This window comes from Homo sapiens, chromosome 1, assembly GCF_000001405.40.
Source record: "Homo sapiens chromosome 1, GRCh38.p14 Primary Assembly".
NCBI classification, from domain to species: Eukaryota; Metazoa; Chordata; class Mammalia; order Primates; family Hominidae; genus Homo; species Homo sapiens.
In genome coordinates this window covers 229,226,045-229,242,689 of record NC_000001.11, presented here as the reverse complement: position 1 = coordinate 229,242,689, position 16,645 = coordinate 229,226,045, and the positions used below count along the sequence as shown (strand labels likewise).

Sequence of the window (16,645 nt, the reverse complement as noted above, 5' to 3'; positions counted from 1 at the left end):
CCTGTTGTCCAAGTGTAATTATTAATTGCACCCTCCCCTATTTGCTCACAAAAGGAGCACTGGTTATTAGATGAAAAATCATATGGTCATCTGAAGTTAAGAAACCTCAAATCCAATTTTGTTGTAGTTTATCCTGTTTTCTCATCTGTTAAATGAGAACAGTTCTCATAAATTTTATATAAGTAGATGAGAGATTAGAAGGAAAGGCTTTGAACTTACTGGAAGAAAAGACCTATAGAAATCCAAGGTGACTTACTATTGTTATTCTAATTTTTATATGCCTGTTGGCCTGTAACAGATGTGTTCTGATTTAAGCATTAGCTAAAACTTTATGTTAGAATCGTAATTTTTTATATCTAATTATATATGCTTATAAATTTATGCATTTTTTGAGATGCTTTCTCTCTTTCTTTTCTTTTCATTCTTGTTGTCATCTTACCCTTCTCTTTTTCTGAAGACTTTAAATTGCCTTCATCTCTGTCTCACTTGTTCCTCCAATAAGTCCCCCTCTCCCACATTCCTAACCTCTCCATACCTCTCCTCAAAAAGCAGCAGACAGCTTTGGTGATGTGAATGTTAGGGAAACTACTGGGGCCTACATCAGGGCAACAGATAGGCCCTAGCAGCCTGCCGCTGTCTAGAGCAAGGATTGGTGACCTTTGTCTGTAAAGAGCAAGACAGAAAATATTTTTACCTTTTGTATTAGTCTGTTCTCACACTGTTATAAAGACATACCCGAGACTGGGTAATTAATGAAGGAAAGAGGTTTACTTGAGTCACAGTTCTGCAGGCTGAACAGAAGGCATGACTAGGGAGGCCTCAGGAAGCTTACAATCACGGCGGAAGGCGAAGGGGAGGCAGGCACATCTTCACATGGCAGAGCAGGAGGTGGGGGTGGGAGGTGCTGCACACTTTCAAACCACCAGGTCTAATGAGAATGCTATCACGAGAATAGCAAGTGGGAAGTCCGCTCCCATTGTCCAGTCACCTCCCTCCTTCAACACTAAGGATCACAACTTGAGATGGGATGTGGGTGGGGACATGGAGCCAAACCTTATCAACTTTGCAGGTCATGTGACCTTTTTCACAACTCCTCGCATCTGCTACTGTGGCACAAAAGCAGCCATAGACAATAGTTAACAAATGGGAGTGTCTGCGTTTCAATAAAACTTTATTTATAAAAAGGCCCTTGGGCCATAGTTTGTTGGGCCCCCTAGTCTAGGGGACTGTTCAGGGCCCTGATTTGGCCTGGGATCTTATCTCAATAAACCACTCAAAACCAGGTATAGGAGACAAGTTAATACTTAAAGGGGGCTTCAGGAGTTCCTTCTTTAGGGGACGAATAATCACCCCCTTCTCTCTTTTGGTAAAGTGGTGTTTTCTAAGGATGATGATGGGTAGGTACAGGTATGTTCATTATCAAGCATTTAAAGAAAAGATATCCTAGGTATTGACCAATCATGGTCACTTGGGAAACAAAATGGAAGTGCCTAGACTCCAGGGCCCTGCCAAACACTTGCAGTGGGTGGACAGCTCTAAGCACAGGCCTCTAGTCGTTCATCATTTTTCCTTTTGGACCACTGCCCACTTTTCACATCCATATTTACCTACTTTGGGGAAAAAAGAAAAATTTCTTTGTTTTTATGTGGGTAAGCAGTCCCTAAAGGAGTCAGTTGAGGGGGGTGGGTGGGAGGGTAGTTTCAGAGCCAGCAGCAGGGGGTGACTGTCACAACCCTTCAAGAGTGACTGGGGGCTGGAGGGGGCTGACAGCCTCGCTGAACTTCCCCACAGTATTGTTAGCTGAGGCCGGGCCCCCTCTGCTTCTGGTTTTGGCCCTGACCTTAGGATGGCTTTACTGGCCAAGATACAAAGCCCCACAGACAGCAGCCCCAGGGGTCCCCATGGTGTCATTGTTGTAGTTAGTGACTCTGACCAGGTGCTGGCTGGAGCAGGGTTGATGGGCCCCTATGTCCACTCACCCTAAAGAGCAAGTAAGGTCAGTGCATGCTCACCAAGTCCATTATAATGTAGCCACGATCTTTTTTTTTGGCTCTCTGTTTCCATCATGGGATTGCTACTTCAGGACAATAGCAAAAAGGGGCTCTTCACAATGGAAACTTTGAGAACAGCTCTTCTTTGAGGAATCCTCATTGCTGGCTGTGATTAAACAATTTCAATGTACTGAAAGCTGTGTAAAGGCAATTCTCAATTACCTGTATGTTAGGTGCTGAAAGTGTCTAATTAAGCCAACTGTTTGGATCCTGGAATGTACTCTCCTAGAAACAATTGCGGTCAGGTCTCACCCAGCTCACATATACCTATTTAACCCACAGTGGACTGAAGTATTAATACTGTAGGTTAGCACCTGACGAGCATATGGAGGGAACATCATGGGTTCAGAGATATTGGTAAGATCTCATTGATAGAAACAGGAGGCAGAGAAATTCTAAGCAGACAGGGATGGGTCCCAGGTGAAACCCCACCTTCAAGCCAAAGTAGCCTGAAACCCACAGCCCAAAGTGATAACTTTTTTTTTTTTTTTTTTTTTTTTTGAGGCAGTCTCGTACTGTTTCCCAGGCTGGAGTGCAATGGCACCACCTCCGCTCACTGCAACCTCTGCCTCCTGGGTTCAAGCGATTCTCCTGTCTCAGCCTCCTAAATAGCTGGGACTACAGGTGTGCCCCATCAAGCCTGGCTAATTTTTGTATTTTTAGTAGAGATGAGGTTTCACCATGTTGGCCAGGCTCATCTCAAACAGCTGACCTCAGGTGATCCACCCACTTTGGTTTCCCAAAGTGCTGGGATTATCGGCATAAGCCACTGTGCCCAGCCCAAAGTGAGAACTATTCTCATTTGCCCACTCTCTCCTGATTGGTTCTTTATGAATAATGTCTTTTTACCAGTTGAATGTTGCCTTTTCCAAAACTACCTACGGCCCACCCCACTCCCATCCTGTGCCTATAAAGACTCCAGACTCAGTTGGTAGAGACAGATGGCTGAACTTTGGGGGAGATGGCCAGACTTCAAGAGAGACGGCTTGACTTTGGAGAGAGATGGCTTGAATTCTGGGAAGAGACAATCTGACTTTGTGGAAGGTGACCTGCCCTTCCCATCCCTTTTCCAGCTCCCCTCTCCACTGAGAGTCGTTTTCATTGCTTAATAAAATTCTCCGCCTTCACCATCCTTCAGTTCATCCATGTGATCTCATTCTTCTTGGACACCAGACAAGAGCTTGGGACCCACCAAGTGTGGGTACCCAGAAAGTCCATCACACTGGCCCTTTGCCCTTGCTGGTGAAGAGCAGCTGCCCCGTGTGGCAAGACAAATGGCCAACTGAGCTGCTAACACATAACTGTCTGCAGATGGGGGAACTAAGAGAGCACTGTAACACTCCCTCTGGGGTTTTGGGGTTGTGGGTGCCCCCACCTAGGCGCTGCCACAGGCCCCACATGGAGCTTGCTCCTGCTGGCACCCAGAGCAGCCAGCTGGATCCCACACTCATTTACTCATGCCTGGTCTGGCCATGGGCCCTGCATGGAGCTTGCTCCTGCTAGTGCCTGGAGCGGCCAGCTGGATCCTGCACTTGCTTGCTCATGTGCTCCCTCTTGCAAGGGGCTGAGTACAGTGGGCCAAGTAGATGGGGATCCACCATTGTGAGTCCCACAAAGGGGCCAAGAAAAATCCTGCATCATGATCCCACCTGCCTGGGAGAAGCATCAGAAACTCCATTTGCTCCCTGTCTCTTCCTTCAGAGACTTTCAAGACTTGTGGCTTTCAAGGTCTGAGAATCCCAGGGCAGGGCGCTCGGGAGGAGGAAGGGCTGGCTCTGGGCCTGAGGGATGTTGGGGAGGAGCTTAGCTTGGGACAGTGTCCTGCCCGGGCAACTACCAAGCTGCATCCAGTTCTCAGTTTGCTCCTTTGTGTTATTAAATATAATAATGTTTATTCTTTTTCTTAATCCAGCAGTAATGAGTATTCATTTTTGAAAACTTAGAAAACATAGATAAGCAGAAGGAAGAAAATTTAAATATCCCATATTCCCACCAGTTTGGTAATATAGGCTTCCAGTGTTTTTCTATCATTAAACAAAAATTATGAGAGGCCATTGTCTTAGACTGAGTTCCTGCACTAGGCTCCAATAGACCAGACCAAATCAAAATGAAGTTGCTCATGCTAAATGCCACATAATCAGACTAAAACTTTAAAGAAGCAGATAGATTTCCAAAACAGACCAAGTTTTCCTGCAAACAGGAGATTCCAGCCTTCCTGAGTCAGCAGTATATAAGGAAGTCCCCTCTGCTTTAACCCTTATTACAAAAGCAACCTGAAGTAACCTGATGTTAACTAATCAGTTTTTTCCTACTGTTCTATTCCTTGTTTCTACCTTACAAAACCCACGGTTCTGCCATTGCCTGGTGGAAGCTCTCATTCTATTTTGTAGAATGGAGGCTGCCCTGATTCATCGCCAATAAAAGTCAATGAGATCTATAACAAAATTTGTTGTAATTCTGTCTTTGACATTACACATATGTGTGCACATGTACAGTACCTATATATTCACACACTTTGCATATTGTTTATAATTTGTTCTTCATTAAACAATGGGTTGTGAACATTTTTCATGCCATTAAATACTTTTTTTTTTTTTTTTTTTACAGCATTTCAGAATGGATGGGTATATCATACCTTATTTAACCAGCATCCTATTGTTGGACTGTTAGGTTTTTCTATCAAAAATAACCCTGTGATGAGCCTCTTGAAATTGCTGTCTTTGCATGGATCCACTATATTTCCTTTGGATAATTCCAAAAACGAACAATGGGTGTGTGTGAGTTAAAGCGTTTAACTTATTTCCAAAGTAACTTCCATCCCCGTGTGTGAGAAGGCTCACCTGCGCCTTTCCACCACTGGCTGTTAAAAAATTTTGAAACTCTTTGCCAGACTGATAAATGAAAAATGTTATTGAGCTGTGTTTTTTTTTTTTTTCTGTATTGGTGAGCTTGGACATTTGTATATGTTTATTCACTCTTTTGTGAATTGGCTGCTTCCTTTCTTAAGTCACAGCACTTAACAATCCCTGGATTGTTTTGGCCATTCAAAACCAAAGTGAATGGATCCAGGTTTTATTACTCTTTGAAAGGTAAACACCTCGCTCCAGGCAGATAAACCTGCAGAGACCTTCCCAGGGCAATTAATTCTCTAACCCTCAAGGTTTGTCCATCCTTTGACCCAGCTGCCCGAATGTGCAGAGTCCCTAACATATTTCCTTGTCACATCCAGTGGGGACCAAGGAATCTCACCTGTTTGGAACTGTGAGCTTTTAGGTAATAGGAACAAGAAATAAAATTGGTCAGAAAACAATAGGAAATCATGGAAGGCTTTAAAAGCCAAGAGACCGAAAATATCTACCTATGGTTAACAGGTAATTGACTTATTTTGGTTTTTGACTATTGTAAATACACTTGGTGTGAATGCGCAGGTGTGTGTCCTTCCGTGGACACATGCATTCATTTTGTTTTGAGTATTTACCTAGGGGTGGGATTATTGGGTCAGAGTATAGGTGTATGTTTAGTTTGAGTAGGTAACGTCAAATAGTTTCTCAAGGAAACAACAAAAAAATTTACACTCCAATCAGCGGTGTATCACAGCTCCAGTTGCTTTAAACTCCACTGACATATGGTATTTCTGTCCTCTAATTTTAGTTTTTCTGTTAGGTTTTATATTTCTTTTAATAAGTTAATATGATTTTAGATTTTATATTTCTTTTAATAAGCTAATTTGACACCACATATAATATTAATGTTGCTTTTCCATTTTCATTTTGTTTAGTTTTAAAAATATGTCTTTTTATATCTTCTCTTACTGATCTATAGATAATACATTTTATAGAACTATTCTACTTTCAAGATTTTATACAACACTTTCTAATAAAAAAACTCTGGGTATATTCCTTTTATAATTATTTTTTAACCTTTTTTTTTTTTTGTTTTGAGAAGGAGTCTCACTCTTTCCTCCAAGCTGGAGTGCAGTGGTGCGATCTCAGCTCACTGCAACCTCCGCCTCCCCAATTCAAGCGATTCTCCCGCCTTAGCCTCCTGAGTAGCTGGAACTACAGGCATGCACCACCACGTCCAGCTAATTTTTGTATTTGTAGTAGAGCCAGGGTTTCACCATGTTGGCCAGGCTGGTCTCAAACTCCTGACCTTGTGATCTGCCCACCTCGGCCTCCCAAAGTGCTGGGATTACAGGCGTGAGCCACCGCGCCCGGCCTATTTTTTACCCTTTTATGTACCACCTACAAATGGTTCCTCTTCGTGTGTACGCGGTGCATTTCTCTTTGACGGTGTCTTACCAATACTCCTTCAACAGGGAAAATGGTATCCAATACCTTCTAAGTTTTGTCCTATCCTATTCTATTAAAATAATATGGCAATCCAGGTGTGGTGGCTCATGCCTGTAATCCCAGCACTTTGGGAGGCCAAGGTGGGCAGATCGCCTGAGGTCAGGAGTTCAAGACCAGCCTGGCCAACCCGGTGAAACCTTGTCTCTACTAAAAATACAAAAATTAGCCAGGCATGGTGGTGGGCGCCCATAATCCCAGCTACTCAGGAGGCTGAGACAGGAGAATGGCTTGAACCCAGGAGGTGGAGGTTGCAGTGAGCCGAGATTACGCCCCTGCACTCCAGCCTGGGCAACAGAGTAAGACTCCGTCTCAAAATAATAATAATAATAATAATAATAAGGCACACATATCAAGCTGATACAAATTCTGCATGGATTATTTTTAAGCCTCCTTCCTTCAGGAGTAAGTTACAGTGTAAAGAACATAGCTTTGCAGCCAGACTGGGCTTATATCCTGCCCACACAACTTGCTAACTGTGTGACCTTGGGCAAGTTAGTTAACTCTCAGAGCCTTGGGTTCTTCAATAACAAAACCCAGGTTTTAGGATTGTTGGGATGTTAAATGAAATAGTGTATATAAAGTGTCAAGCATGTAACAGCATGCTCAAGAAATATGTTTTCTTGTATGCTAGAAGCAGGTACATCAGATGCCTCTTTATCACATTTGCCTTAGTTCACAAAGCAATTAAAAATAGATACAGGGTGGGAGGGGATAAAGGATAAAAAAACTACATATTAGATACAATGTACACTACTGGGGTCACTCGGGTGAAGAGTGTAGCAAAATCTCAGACTTCACCACTAGACAATTCATCCATGTAACCAAAAACCACTTGTATCCCAAAAGCTGTTGAAATAAAACATATATTTAAAAAAATAGGTACAGCTAGAAGATAAGATGATGGCTTTAAAAAAGTAGGCACCATCTGCTGGTGATACGGACAGGAGACAGGGAAACACTGGGTAGAAGAGGGCGGTTCTCCGGCAAAGGCCCCCACCCTGAAGCCCAGATACCCGTGACCCTAAAGGAGGACAGGGATTCCTGTTTTCACACCCAAAAGGTTGCCTTTTGGCCATCCTGTACCCATATAAACCCCAAACCCCAGGCTCCAGAAGCAGACAAGGAGACAAGGAGACAAGCAGACGAATGGCAGAAAGGCACGGCAGAGAAAGAGGAGAATGTCTGAGCACTGAGAGGTATTCGGCTGCGGGGCAGTCGAAGAGGAGTTTGGCCACTGGATGTCCAAATTCCAGGGGAAGATCATCTTCCCACTCCGTCATTGGTTCTGTACGGGAAGGCCGGACAACTCGAAGTGAGGAGGGGGCTTCCAGGTTATAGGTAGATAAGAGACAAAATGGTTGCATTCTTTTGAGTTTCTGATTAGCCTTTCCAAAGGAGGCAATCAGATATGCATTTATCTCAGTGAGCAGAGGGATGACTTCGAGTTCTGTCTGTCCTTTGTCCGTAAGGAAATGCCTTGTGAGGGAGGTTTGTAGCTTTTAAAAAAGATCTTAGTAGCTATCATTTTCAGGAGTAGAATGGGAGGCAGGTTTGCCCTAAGCAGCTCCCAGCTTGACTTTTCCCTTTGGCTTAGTGATTTTGGGGTCCCAAGATTTCTTTTCCTTTTACACCCAGCAGCCCTGGAATGGGGTGGGGGCAGCATTTTATACTCTAAAATCAACTTCACTCCTAAAAGCCAGAAATCTATCTCTACCCCCAGGGTTAAGGTGCTGGTGCCCAGTCCACCTAACCCCTGATCCCACTTATTATGCTAACTCTTTAGAAATGGGTGGCTGAACAATGGGGGATGAAAACTTCAGGGTGCTGGAAAATGCTCTTAACAACAACTGCCAGAGAAAAGGTAGCCAGCTTGTGCTGCAGTGGGTGACCTGGAATTCTCAGCACTTTTCTTTTTCCTGTCTTTTCCCCTCTGCCCCCTACCAGTGTGTACACATTCGCTAAAAGGGACTGACATCAAGAAGGTGCCAGCTTGCCTAGTTAGGAGCAGTCATTGCCAATCAAGTCTTCAAATACGGACTTGATAGGAAAAAGGAACACGTTTTCACCCAAGGTTAAACACTAGTGCCATTCAGAACATGGAATACTACTGGAGAGCAGGATTTACAGTGTCTTTGGGGAGACAGTTTCAGATAATAGCCACAGTACTGTGACAGTCCCAGATAAGCCACATCCTCTCACTGTTGGAGGGCATCCCTGCTCTCTCCCATCATGCCTGCCACCTTGGTTTCCAAATCTGACTTCTCCCCTGAGCTAAAGTGCCAGATCTCCAAGCCAATGTCCCTTCAGAGGTCCATTTAGCATTCTGAAATGAATCATCCAATTTCAGTTGCTGGCTCCCCTCCCCATTCCTCTTGTTTCTGATAATGATATTGTAATCACCTGATGGGTTCTTCCTGCCGACGGCACAGACAAAACCAATTCAATGACACCATGGCATTGCAATAAAGAAAGAGTTTAATTGACATGAGGCTGGCCACACCATGTGGGAGATGAAGATATTACTCAAGTCGACCTCCCGGAAAATTCTGAGGCTAGGTTTTTCAAGGGTTACTTGGCTGGCAGGGGGCGAGGGGAACAGATGCGGCTGATTGGTTGGGGATGCAATCATAGGGATGTGGAAAATGGTCCTTGTGCACTAAGTCTGCTTCTGGGTGGGTCCGCAGGACTGGTTGGGCCAAGAGTCAAGGTCCGGTCATCTGGTCATGAGAAATGCAAAATCCTGAAAGGACATCTCCAAAGACCAATTTTAGGTTCTTTAAGAGGGATGTGCCGGGCGCGGTGGCTCACGCCTGTAATCCCAGCACTTTGGGAGGCCGAGGTGGGCGGATCACGAGGTCAGGAGATCGAGACCATCCCGGCTAAAACGGTGAAACCCCGTCTCTACTAAAAATACAAAAAATTAGCCGGGCGTAGTGGCGGGCGCCTGTAGTCCCAGCTACTTGGGAGGCTGAGGCAGGAGAATGGCGTGAACCCGGGAGGCGGAGCTTGCAGTGAGCCGAGATCCCGCCACTGCACTTCAGCCTGGGCGACAGAGCAAGACTCCGTCTCAAAAAAAAAAAAAAAAAAAAAAGAGGGATGTTATCCTCAGGAGTAACTGGGGAAGTTGCAAATCTTGTGACCTACAGAATAATGGCTGGTAATTGTTCACACCTACATCTTAGCAGAATTCAGGCTTCTCTCATCCTCCTAACCGGGTGGTCCTTTATTCATTTTACAAAGGCAGTTCAGTTTTGGGGAAGGACTATTATCATTTAAACTGTAAACTAAAGTTTGTAACTCCCCAAGTTAGCTTGGCCCAAGCCCAGGAATGACCAAGGCAGTTTGGAGGTTAAAGACAAGATGGGGATTGGTTAGATCAGATCTCTTTCACTGTCATAATTTTCTCACTGTTATAATTTTTGCAAAGGTGGTTTTTCAATACTATCATTATCTTGGGCCATTCTTTGTACACTGCTTGAAAATGATGTGATGTGTTGTTTTAAGTGAGGTGCTATGGGTAGTGGTTACTGCCTGGTGGAGCCCCAATATCCATCCATTCCTCCTTTGATAGTGATAGGATTTGCATTTGGGTGGCCTAGGATCAAGACTCTATTTCCTAGATGCCCCTGTCTCTGGGTGTGGTAACACACTCAGTTCTGGCCAAAAGACTGTGAGTGAAATCATTGGATGTAACTTCTAGATCATATCCTTAACAGGAAGGGGTGTGATCTTTTTCTATCCCATCCTCCATCCTGTTGCCTAGAACATTGTGGGGACGGGGAAGCCAGTTTGGAGAATGCCAACAAGGGCAGCACCGTAGAGATGGCAGAGCAACTGGAAAAGAGGAACCAGGGTCTTAGATCCTGTGCAGCTGCCATTCCAGCCTTGACTTACTATTTGCCTGGACGACTGGGAGACAGAGCAATAGACATCTATCTTGTTTAAGCCACGATTCTTGTGAGTCTCTGTTAGAGCACTTGAAACTTATCCTAAAGAAAAAAGCCATCAGAGAGGCCCCATTTTCCCCAAGCTGTCCAGTGGCTTAGTCTAAGAGGCCGGTCTACCTGTGATAGAGGCAGGAGAGAGCCAAATGCCTAGGCAAATAGAGAAGGGTCCCTGGAGAGCCTCCCACCTGCCCAGGTCATTGTGGACAGCGGGCTTCACCTAAACATGCCCATGGTGAAAACTTCCGTGCCTTAACATAGGTACAGTAAGGGAAAGAAATCAATGTGGAGGGGCTCAAGACTAAGAGCCCACGTGTGGACTGGCAGTGGTGCCTTTGCTGCTGGTGTATTTTCCTGACCAAAATCACCACCCACCCCGCCCCACAGAGGGCCAAGCTTGTGCCTCCTCACACAGACCTCTCTCTGCTTTGTCTGAAGTCCCACACTGCCCACAGCTGGTCATTTAATTACTCTTGGTTTGATGAGTCTCTTACTAATTCCAATAGTTCACAGAATCATTAGAATTTTGAAGCTGTCAATGATTTAAATGCATATTTTCCCAAGTAGAAATAGAATTTAAATTCAGATAGTCCTAATCTGATGCCTCCTTTTCAGAATGCTCCCCACCCCAACTACTGCTTTGATCATGTTAGAATAAAACTCAGAATCAAACTCCCCGGGAGGCAATGCCTGCAGCCTGCTTTCCAGGCAGTGTGGCTCCCCGCTGTGCCCTTTGAAATTAGTCACAACCCTTACTTCCCGTCTGGAGTTTTTGAGAGAACAGTGACATGACAGCCCATTGTACATGAAGCAAGTTAGGGCACGTCCTGGCCAAGATCCCAGGGTCCTGAGTATCTTGTTTGATCCCGAGTTGAATTTATGGATCACAGTACATCTCTGGCCCCCTTGTTTCAAAGACAGAATCCCTTACGTCACAAGAAGCAGGACAGGAAAAGCCACATAGCAGACTGGATAATTTAAATGTATAATGGTGGATCTGTTTTTCTAGAAGAGCTTAGGTAAACTCGGAGGTGACCTCTAATTCCAAATACAAGGCCAGGTGTGTACTGGGAGCATAATAGATGCTTACTGGCTGACAATTGCAGGGCTCACCTTAACTTTGGCTGTGGAGCACAGCTCTGATCTCAGAGAAAAATATCTTTCTCAAGTTTCCCTTTTCCTTGTCACATTGCTTTGGAAAGCCTTTCTCCAATTTCTCGCCAGCTTGGTCTTTATTTCCCGCCTAATTTCTGCTTCTACCTGCTCTGTTTTTTGTGCTTTTGACTATAGCTACCACACAGAGAGTGAACTACTGTGGTGTTCCTCAGAAATAATCAGGCTTTTTAGTGTGTGTGGTTTTTATTTTTATTTTTTTGCAAGAGGCAGTATACTTCAAAGGTTTGGTCTCACATTTAAAGGTAGGTTGGAAATAACAGCACTCAAGATGCTTTGGGCGATCAGAAAATTCCTCCAGCCCAGCAAGACAGCAGTGGTGTGGCAGAATTTGTTTAACAAAAGATCTTAGTGATTTAGCATTTATTCAGTTTACAGTAGCAGGTGTTTACTTCGAAGCTTAGCAATAGTAGGAGGTAGGGGTGAGTCATAATGTCAATTATTTTTTTCTAACTTCTGCAATTTTTTCAGTTGAGAGAGCTTCTACATCAGTGAAAGGAAGGTCATTTCTCCGTGGATTATCGGATTGAGCAGAGGGCCCGAGAGCAGCAGGAGTTGGGATGTATTTGGGGCAGGTGGGGGTGTAACCTGCAGTGCGGCTGTGGGGTGCTCTGGCCCGCAGGGCCCTGGAAGCCCTCAACTGATCAGAGCGCCTGGTGGGGCTGTCACCATGATTTAAAGCTCTGAGAATATGAATTAGCAGGAGGTAGGCGGATGGTGTCATTCTGGCCCTGAAAGGCTTCCATAAATCAGTGACACAGTGGAGCCCCAGCAAACTTCCTCCCCGCCGGTTTCTGGAGGCTCTCCTTCCCACTCTGCCCAGACAAGTGGAAAGGAGCGATCCCTTGAGTGGGTGGGTTACGGCCAAATGGCCTGCCCTCCCCACAGCTTGCAGATCTGGGCAGTTGGGTTTTCGCTGGAGCTTTGGGCTTCACCCACTGACTGCAGAGCTGCAGAATCCTTGCAGCACATTGGGGCTTGGGTTCTGGCTTTTGGAGGGATTTGGCTTTGACAGTGGTGGTGAGGAGGGAGTCTTTAATGAAACAAATTCTGTCATGTTGGATCAACACAATGGAGCTCAGTCTGCACAGTGGACAAGAATGGCTTGTTCCTTCCTTCTACCCTTTGTGCTTTGTTAACAGAATGTCCCTGGCACTTCTGTGCTCCTGCCTGCTGCCAAAAGCTTAACTCTGCCCTTGCATAATACTGGAGGACACTGTCAGAGGTCAGCTGGAAGTCCCTCATTCGAAGGCAGATGTGAGGGCTAAAACCCTGCCAAGATCCCCAGGCTGTTTTTCAGTGTTGAGGTTGAAACTTTTTCTCTGCCGCCTCCCCCAGTTTACCAACTCCTCCCTCTAACTGGGGTGGAGACTTGCGTCCAGGGAGTCTTCAGCTCCCCTCTATACAGTAAGAACACCTGCCACTGACACCCAAAGCCACGCAGTGATTTCTCTTCACTCTCTTCAGCCCCATGCTCTAGCAGGCTTTATGTTTTAGGGAGGAGCTGGAGTCACACGGAGGTCCGCTGTAGGAAACGTTGCTGCCTTCACTCACCCACTTCTGTTAGGCAAGGAGTTACAGCGGAATCTTACAGCAGAAAACAAAGCAGGAAATATGACCTCCCAGCGTCTCTCTGGGTCTGAGGAACAGGATTCAGGTGTCTCTGTACCTTGGCCAGTTTGCATTCTTGTCTGCCTAGGAATGCCAGATTCCTTTTAAAAACCACAGGTATAGGAAACAGCCCCAAGCCTAAGGTTCTTTCCCTTCCTTACCCTCTTTGTCTCTGTGGCTACTCAGCTCAGGAGGTGAGATGTTTTCATGGTACAGGGGACAGAAATTCCAGTTCTGGGAGGGGGAGCTGGTTGGGCTTCTTCTTTACTGTGGCCAGACATGAGCAACCTTAGCCTTCGGGCTTACACATGCCTAGCTGGTTTGTTTGTTTGTTTTGGTTACAAGGGGAATGGGAATAAGGAAGGAGCAACAGGCAGCTCAAATACCTCATCACTCCTGGAAAACACTATCACTTCCCACGCGTGGGAAGCCGGCATATTTGTTCCCGCAGTCTAGGCAGGTGGAGTATCCCTAATCCGAAAATCCAAAATCAAAAATGCTTTAAAATCCAAAGCTTTTTGAGCAGCAATATGATGCCACAAGTAGAAAATTCCACACTTAACTTCACGTGACAGATCACAGTCAAAACACATTCAAGACTTTGTCATGCACAACATTATTAAAAATATTGCATAAAATTACTTGGAAGCTGTGTTTATAAGGGTTTATATATAAAACATAAATGAATTTTGTCTTAAGATTTGGGGTTCATCTTCAAGATACCTCATTATATATCTTTTTAAAAATGTTGACTTTGGAATATATCTTATATATTCCAAAAAATTCCCGAATTGGAAACATTTCTGGTCTCAAGCATTTTTATTTATTTATTTATTTATTTATTTATTTATTTATTTTTGAGACAGGGTCTCACTCTGTCACCAAGGCTGAATGCAGTGGCGTGATCACTGCAGCCTCAACCTCCTGGTCTCAAGTGATTCTCCCCCCTCAGTCTCCTGAAGCTGGGGCTACAGGAGCACCACCATGCCTGGCTAATTTTTAAAAATTTTTTTGTACATATAGGGGTGGGGAGAGGTCTTGCTATGTTGCCCAGGCTGGTCTTGAATTCTTGGGCTCAAGTAATTCTCCAGTCTCGGCCTTCCAAAGTGTAGGGATTACAGGTGTGAGCCACCACGCCTGACATTTTTTATTTTTTAGATATGGCGGCGGCGGGGGGGTGGGAAGGGGGAGGGCGTCTAGCTATATTGCCCAGGCTGGATTCAAACTCCTGAGCTCAAAAGGTCCTCCTGTCTCAGCCTCTCAAGTAGCTGGGGTTACAGGCACATGCTACTGCACCTGGCTGCAACCACTCTGGATAAGAGCAACCTGTAATCCCTCTTCCACCTGCCTTTTGTTTACTGTATCTATCCCTGTAAAGTACTGCTACTTTCTAGCTGTTTGGCCTTATACAAGTTGCTTTACATCTGTATGCCCTATTTTCCACATCTGATAAATCAGTATTATTTCATAGAATTGCTATGAAGCTTAGATGAGATAATAAAGGCAAAGCTCTTAGAATGGTACTTGGCTCATAGTAAGCACTCAAATATTGTTTTTGTCAACATTTTCTATATATCTATGTATGGCTTTTGTGATTGTTTTTATTTTTAGTCAAGGATTACATCTCATTTCTTGCCTTTTCTTTGTATTCTGAATTCAGGTTGTGTGAATCTACCTGCCACTGCAAATTTTCAAGCTGAAAGGCCATTTGCATTTTACAACCACTCTCTCAAACATTCCTCTAGGGAACTAGCCGTTTTGAATTACTCCTCTCTTTTCTCTCTTGTCTCCAGAATTGCATATTCCAAATCCAGAACAGTCTCAGCATGGCTGCCGTTTTCTCGTTTCTTTGTGAAGCATCCCGGTCCAGGCTGCCAGCCTCACGTTATTTGATTGTTTTCGGAACAGCCGGCAGGGGGCGCGCATCAGCCGTTCCCAGCACTCAGGCGAGGGGTTCTGACTCCCCAGGTACTTCTGTTAATGAGTTCGGTGCCTGTAGGTCTTTCAGTTAGGATGATAGAAAGCTTCCTTGGCATGGAGATTCACCGTGTACTTCTACAAATAGAAGTTTAAAAGACAGAAAGCTGTATATTATCGCTGCTGAGAGCTTTGCAGTCACGCCTCCCTGTGATGAGACTGACTGCTGTGTTACTGTGGGTAAATTGCTCAGCTTCTCTGAGGCAGTTTCTTTTTATGTAAAAATGGGACAGAAGCCAGCCTGGCTTCTAGAGTTGTTGGAGGAGTCAGCATGTGGCTGATAGATGTAGAGCTCTTAGCCACTGCGGTATTTAGGAATTGGTAAGCATCTTTACTCAGGGCACTGAGGCAAGTTTGGGGCCCTGTCTTTTCTCTCCTTACCCATCCACCTCCTTTTCTTCTCCCTTCCTGCTCACTTTTTCTCCATGCTCTTCATTTCCCTGTATCCAGGCCTGAGACCAACGCCTGTGGGTACAAGGGAGCCTCTGTAGGCATAGGGCTGGGATATACAGAGGGGAGGCTGAGCCACCCACAGGGTGAAAAGAAGGCCAGTGGAAACCCCATTCCACTTCCCTCAGCTTTTTACGTGCATTCTATAAACCTCATCTAGTCTCTTGGTCAGCAGAAGCAAAATTAGCCACAATTTGCTCACACTGCACCCATCCCCAACCCCACTCCACCCTACCAGGGCTAAGAGATGTCAGCAAAAATAAACCCCACGAGAGTGTTCTTCATAGCCCGATGCACAGAACTGGCAGTGCCATGTGGGCATCACCCTGGATGGTGTGCATCCTCACCATACCCAGGCACCTACCTGGTCAGATGTGACAAGAGTTGCTCTAGGGACCTGGGATCCCAGAGAGGGTGGGTGGGTGGGATGGGGACACAACCTCAGCTGGCTCAGAGGAGGGTACAGCTCAGTGCCCAGGCTCGGCTCAGCCTGGCTTAGGGGACCATTCAGGCCTGGATTGGCACCAGTGGTTTGGTTGGGGACTAGTCTGGAAGGTTCCACACCTCTAATCTTCAAATGATGCTGGGTCTGTCTTCCAACTGGGGGGCTGGTCTAGGTGCCTTCTGTCCACAGGGGTAGCTTAGTTTGTTTCCTTTGAAGGCCTGGGTCTCTTTCTGGAGGGATAAGGGTCATGTGGGTAGGGGACCAGTTTGTTCTGGCTTTAGCCCTGAAAGTCCTGCATCCCAGGAAGCCACTCAATCCTGGGCACACTGGAAGGGGTGTCCACCTTGTGGGATGCAGCACGTCATGTGTTAATCTTGGTCTAGATCCCCGCAGGAGAGCTGTGTGGCTCTAGGATGTGATAGGGCACTTTGGGACGCAGAATTGCTGGGGAAAAAAAGAACTAACTATCTCCCACCACCAGATTAGATATGGGCTACTTAGAAGTTTCTTTCTTTTCTTTTCTTTTTCTTTTCTTTTTTCTTTTTTTTTTTTTGGTGCAGAGTTTTGCTCTGGTTGCCCAGACTGGAGTGCAATGGCGTCATCTCAGCTCACCGCAACCTCTGCCTCCCGGGTTCAAGCAAT

The 16,645-nt window shown here is 45.4% G+C and overlaps 2 annotated features.

Annotated features, from left to right (window-relative positions):
* Positions 1,714 to 2,008: a silencer, noted in NCBI's record as "tiled region #11146; K562 Repressive non-DNase unmatched - State 22:ReprW". NCBI's record gives its function as "represses a minimal TATA promoter and a strong SV40 promoter by Sharpr-MPRA in K562 cells {active_cell/tissue: K562}" and the evidence as "EXISTENCE:reporter gene assay evidence [ECO:0000049][PMID:27701403]".
* Positions 13,911 to 14,636: an enhancer, noted in NCBI's record as "H3K27ac hESC enhancer chr1:229363801-229364526 (GRCh37/hg19 assembly coordinates)". NCBI's record gives its function as "activates a minimal SCP1, AML or CMV promoter by ChIP-STARR-seq in primed H9 embryonic stem cells {active_cell/tissue: H9 hESC(primed)}" and the evidence as "EXISTENCE:reporter gene assay evidence [ECO:0000049][PMID:30033119]".